Source organism: Homo sapiens, chromosome 2 (genome assembly GCF_000001405.40).
Source record: "Homo sapiens chromosome 2, GRCh38.p14 Primary Assembly".
Classification (NCBI taxonomy): domain Eukaryota; kingdom Metazoa; phylum Chordata; class Mammalia; order Primates; family Hominidae; genus Homo; species Homo sapiens.
Window position 1 is genome coordinate 41,721,869 of NC_000002.12, and position 6,000 is coordinate 41,727,868.

Consider the following 6,000-nt stretch of genomic DNA (forward strand, 5'->3'; position numbering starts at 1 on the left):
TTCTTACTTCTCTTGTGTATTTGGTGTTTCCTTAACTCAGCTGCTCAGATTCCTATGTTCAGTGAGTTTTCTTCAATTCTCATAACTAAGGTGTCTATGGATACTCAAAACAGGATACTCTCTGTTTTGTAGGGTGGCTGTAAGGTAGCAGACATTATTGATTGCCTGTATGGTAGGCACTCCCTTCTTTCTTCCTGACAAACCTTGAACCAGAAAAGTTCCTGTTGCCAGTGGAAGATCTTCAATCCACTCTAGTTCAAAGTAAAGTTTTTTTCAATTACAGCTGATACTGGCTTGAAAATATAAAATAAATTATTAAAACACATCAGAGGAGGTGCGTAAAGAAAACAGGGAAATGGAAAGCAAAGGGAAAAGGAAATGGAGAGAAACAAAGGAAAAAGAAAATATAGAAGTCTGATGAATTTGGGAATTAAAAGGCCTGAATTCCTGTCCCTGACACCTCCTGGCTGTGTAATCAAGCAATGCTCATCACCATCAACATCATTATCAGAGCTACGATTTATACAGTGTTTACCATGAACTCATTCCTTTACACAATCCTCATAGCAACTTTAAAAGTAAGATCCTATTACCCCACTTTATGGATGGAGAAACAGATTCAAAAAACAAATAATCAGCCCTGGGTTTTACAACTAGGAGATCTCAGAATGAGGGGTTTCCCTGGTTTGAAAGTACGTACATGATTTGAAAGCATCCCTCCTTTCCACAATGGTGGGATAGCTCCTAAATGTAACCTCTCAGAACATCAGTCTCTTCATCTAGAAAGGAATTATTATAATTACTTCTATAGTCACATGAGGATGTGTATTAATTGTCTTTTGCCACAATAACTTAATGGCATAAAACAACTCTTATTTGCTATTTCTCCACAGTCTGTGAGAAGGCTAGGCAGTCTGTTGATCTTGGCAGGACTTGATGGGGTGGTTCTAATGGTCTGAGCATGAGTCTGGTGGTCAGCTGGATATTGGCTGACCTAGGATGGCCTTGCTGGAATGACTGGCTATGTTTCACATGGCCTCTCATCTCTAACAAGCAAGCCTAGACTTGTTCCTGTAACACAGGCAAGGCTTGTAAGAGAGGAAAGAATGCAAGTTCTCTTGAGTTCTAGGGTCAAAACTGGCACATCACTTACACTATATTCTGTTTGTTAAAATAAGTCTCAAGGCCAGCCCAGATTCCAGGGCTAGGGAAACTGACTTCAAAATTACCTTGTAAACGGCATGTATAGAGGGAGGAGTGTAGAATTGGGGCCATTTTGCAATCGCTCTACCATAGGAGGTATGTCAATATGCTTTATAAACTGTCAACTGCCACTCCACTGGCTCTCTAAAATCCACTCTTACTGAAAAGCACCACTGCTACTAATCCAACGACAGCTCGTTTTCATTGCTGTTGTCTCTTCTAGCTGAGCTTGTGAAAAAGAGCTAGAGAAAGCCATGTAATGAAGATCAGTGTATCGGGCTTTTCTCACGCACCCTGAATTCAGATGAGATTTTCCCCCTATGCCCTTACCCTGAGACTTTATCCACACTTGCATTCCACTAAATTAGGAACTCTTCTAGAAATAAAAATTAAGAAGAAAAATTTCCAGCTTGGTGTTATTTATTCTCAGCCTTTCTGAAATTGTACATTCCATCATTATCATTATCATGCTTCCTTACTAAAGCAAAGTTCTAAATGCTAGATCCCAAATTCATAGTTTAAAATGCTTTAAAATCACACTCTAAGTCCCTAAGAAAGATGGTCTGAAAGGGAATCAAATGAGTATCAGCATTCAGAGTAAGCCGTGAAAGTTAATGTGATTTGGACAAAAGGCTGCTGTAACCTGAAACTCCAGGGATCATGTCTTTCCTGTCTCAGAAATATTTGTCTGTATTTTTCAAGTCCTCCATTAACCGTATTCAGATGAACTTGCAAGAGGACATCAACCCTTTATCAGGACATCATAAAAGCTCCTTAGGCCAGTTGATCTCAACCTTGGCTGGCTGCACACTAGAATTACCTGATCAGCTTTTAAAAATCCCTATGCTACGTTGCACCCCAGGATAATTCATTCAGAATCACTGGGAATGAGACATAGCATGAGCATTTTTCAAGCACCCCAAATGATTCCAATGTGGCCCCAAGACTGAGAAACACCACATGGGGCCCTTGCCTCCCTGCCTATAAATGGAAGGCTTCATACTGGATTCCAATTTGTACTAGGTTTCAACTCTATTTCTCTCTTTGAATTGCTGACAAAATAGCTTGACTATTTTTCATTAAACTCTTTCAGGCAGCATATAGTAGAAAGAACCTCTGCAGTCAGAGCTGCAGCTAAATCCCTGATTAGTTATTTATTAGTTATATGATTTGGAGCAAGTGACTTAACCTACTTAGTTTCTCTTATCCTTAATTTCCTCCTGGGTCAAATGGTATAATAATTTCTACCAAACAGGGTAAGTTATAGAGAGTAAGTGAGATAAAGTGTCTAAAATGCTCCATAGTAGACAATCAATAAGTACCCATTTCTTTTCCCTTAAGGATTCTTAATTAAGCGGTTTAGCACCCTCAGGTGACCTGCTGTTGACTGTTCAGGAGGAAGGAAGGGCACTCAATGTGTATTACATGCATCTGAACATAGTGACAGAGTCCAGTTGTCTGCTTTTACAAGCATCAGAAAATCCTGCCACGAATTTTCTTGGGGCAAAATATCATTATATATCTGCTTGCTAGGTCTCACTCCACAGGGAGTCAAAATGTTACTTGCTCTTTGTCCAGACACGTCAACGATGGGGTCTTTTTTTTTCTCAATCAGCCCAACAGGCCTGATGCAGATAAGGTATGGGGCAAAGACCACATGAGGATTTATGGCCAAGGACTCAGCCAGCCTCCCTGTGCACCAGACCAGCTTGCCACAAAAACAAAAGAACCAAAAATGACTGCAGAGAAAGGCAATGTCACTATTTCAGCAACAAGAGCAGCAAAATCATCTCTGGGTAGTGGAATTATTTTCATTGCTAATCGTAAGTCTCCTGGACAGATCCGTAAGTACACTTCTGCACAAAGGAGTATCCTCAAATTGCTGTCGTTTTTTAGCGACAGCAAAAAACCCACAAAGCAGATCAGCCTTTTTTTTCCAGTCTTTACATTGGTAACAAAGAGATAAATTTAGATTTTCCTAAAATATGCTAGTGGATGTTGTGTCTCACATTGATCTTATATCTCAGGGAATTTGGCACTTATCTCCACTTAAAGATTATGTATCTATTTGTTTATGTTTATCGAATGTCTTCACCATCTTACTTAGAGATCGGCAAACTATAGCCCATTGGCCAAAGCAGGCCCACCACCTGTTTTTGTAAATAAAGTGCTGTCTTAAATACTAACACTCACTCATTTACACATTATCAGTGGCTGCTTGCCCACTGCAATGACAGAGTTGAGTAGTAGTTTTGATAGACCGGCCTGGAAAGCCAAAAGTATTTACTATCTGGATTTTTACAGAAAAATTTTGCCAACCCCTGCTGTAGACTATAAGCTTCATAAGGACAGGGACTTTGTGTAAACTCAGTGACCTGCACACAGTAAAGATGCATTCAATAAACATTCATTGCATAAATAAATAATGTTAAATAAGTTAATCAATTCAGCCACAAAGCTACTTTTCTGGTACAGGTCTTCATAAAAAGGAAAAGCAGACATGTGTGCCCAATTTAACGATATATAAAGCTGAAAAGATCCTAAAGATGGACAAAGACAGACCCCTAATATTTCAGCTGAGGAAACTGAGTCCCAGAAAGCTGAAGTGATTCTGCCAAGGTGAACCCAAGGAGAAGAAAGAACTATTCCAACAGCAGATTTGTTTTCCCTTCAATTAATAAGGCATTCTGTGAAGTCAACCTATTCCCAGGAAGGCCAAGACTTTAAACACGACATGCATGCAATAATAATTACCCTTGTTTCAAACTTTCATTTCTGGCTTATTCCCTGAAGTTCTTTAAATGCTCACCATCCCAATCCATTTTCATAAATTTGGTTAGGAAATGACATGCACGCATTAAAGAACAGAAAGCACAGCTTTAAAATAAACTTTGTTAATTAAACAGGCACCCAGAGAAAGTTCCAGTGCACACTGAATGATTCCTCCAGCTACCACTATCAGTTTGGAGAAAAATTTATCCAGATCTGATATCCCAAACAGGGCCCTGGTTTAAATTTTAAACTATCCACCTATTCCCCAAAGGGCAAGATAGAGAATAACTTAATTCTGCCAAATCATAGTAAAAGGTAGATAAGGATTGCCCAAGTCAGCTTAACTTCTCTGTCATTTGCCAGCACTAGCCGAGAAAGAAACGCTGGTTGACTTGGTGTCTCCAATGCTCTAAGGCAATTTCTCTTATGTCATAATTTATTTTTCCTTAGAAAGGTTTTTATAATTCAGTCCTGTACAGAAAGCGTCAGGGACAGAAATAAATCAGGGAACAGATGCATGTTAGGACTGCAAGCCCTAAAGCCCTCAGTTGCAGCTCATTTTACTCATTTAACAATCATAGATTAGGCCCCTAGTGTTGCCAGGCTCTGTGGTAGAAACCGGGAGAAATGAAGAGGCAATAGCCACTATCCCTAGACCCTAGAAGAGCCATGCTTCATATGAGAGAGAGACAAGGAAGCAGTTACAGCACCACGAGTCATGAGTCCTCTGAGACACACGCATGCCCAGAGTGCCTTGGAGCACGCTCGGGGGACACCCAGGCCAGACTATCCTGATAATGGAGTTAAGAGTTCGCCATATGAAAAAGCAGGGGAAAAAACTTAACCATGAAGTCACATGTTCAAAGACCAGGAAGTGAGAGAGAATAGGAATTAGTAAAGGGAGTGAAAACACTTCTGTATGTCTGGAGTCTTGAGTGAGAAGTGAGCTTGGAACAGAAGGCCCAGACATTTAAGGTTCAACAATGTACTCCCTAAAGCAAGCACTCACTCTAAGCCCCGTCTGTCTTGGGTGCTGGGCTAGGCACCAAGAAATGCCTTTTATCTTTAAAAAAAAAAAAAAAAAAAAAAAAAAAAAGTAAACAGATACCCTGAGTTTAATCTTCCATAGAACAGGGACCTCAGTGGTTTTCTACTCTAATTGTCCTTTCAATGCAGAAATCTGATTCCAATACCCTAAATAAAAGAGTATCTGGTCTTAGCTTGAACACTTTCAATGACAGGGAACTTAATGGCCTCAGAAATCAGCTTATTCAAAAGTTCTTCAAGTCGAATTGGAAATTGCCTCCCTCTAACTACTTCCTGACTTCAATAACACATTGGCTATCAACTCTCTCTGAAGAAAGGCCCAAATCATGGTAAACAGAGCCCAGAGATCAGATTCCAAAATGTATATGGTCTCAACTTCATGATCACAGTGTTGAATATACCACCAACTCCATTCCAAGATGGAGTTTCCTTCTATCTCTCTATGGGACCCAGGCCATACCAGGACCAAAGATCTCCTGAATGAGGATGCATCCCTAGGGAAGCTAGGCATCTGAACGCTGAATTTCATCATGCAGTGGGGCAAGGAAGGCCAGGGGAGCAAATAAAAAACAGATCTTGAACAAAACAAAATATGGAAGCCAAAGCACATAACACCACAAGTAGGAGCTAAACGGGGAAAGTCCTAGAAGAAGCACAGTCATGACACAGCAGTCCAGCTTCATAACTCAGATCTGCAGAGCATCAGGAAAGCCTTGTACAGCATGACAGAGACAATCATAAGGCCACTGTAAGTTATATACCAGAAGGGAATAGGTACAACCCTTGAGTCAGAAAATATAAAGTTATCCAGTAGCAGAGAGAAGGCAGAATTACGCAAATCCTGCTTACTTTCCTCTTCACCATTAAGAAAAATGAAGATGACTCTGCAGAGAGTAGAATACACACTGTCAACAAAGAATGGAAGCCAGGGATGGATGAGAAGACACAAGATCCCATAACAGCTGCTTTATGTGAGTT

The 6,000-nt window shown here is 40.2% G+C and overlaps 2 annotated features.

The window, feature by feature from the left end:
• Positions 342-1,541: an enhancer, noted in NCBI's record as "BRD4-independent group 4 enhancer chr2:41949350-41950549 (GRCh37/hg19 assembly coordinates)". NCBI's record gives its function as "activates an origin of replication core promoter dependent on BRD2, P300/CBP, MED14 and CDK7 cofactors, and independent of BRD4, by STARR-seq in HCT116 cells {active_cell/tissue: HCT116}" and the evidence as "EXISTENCE:reporter gene assay evidence [ECO:0000049][PMID:35650434]".
• Positions 4,788-4,988: a silencer, noted in NCBI's record as "peak3673 fragment used in MPRA reporter construct". NCBI's record gives its function as "represses an SCP1 promoter by STARR-seq MPRAs in K562 erythroleukemia cells {active_cell/tissue: K562}" and the evidence as "EXISTENCE:reporter gene assay evidence [ECO:0000049][PMID:32103011]".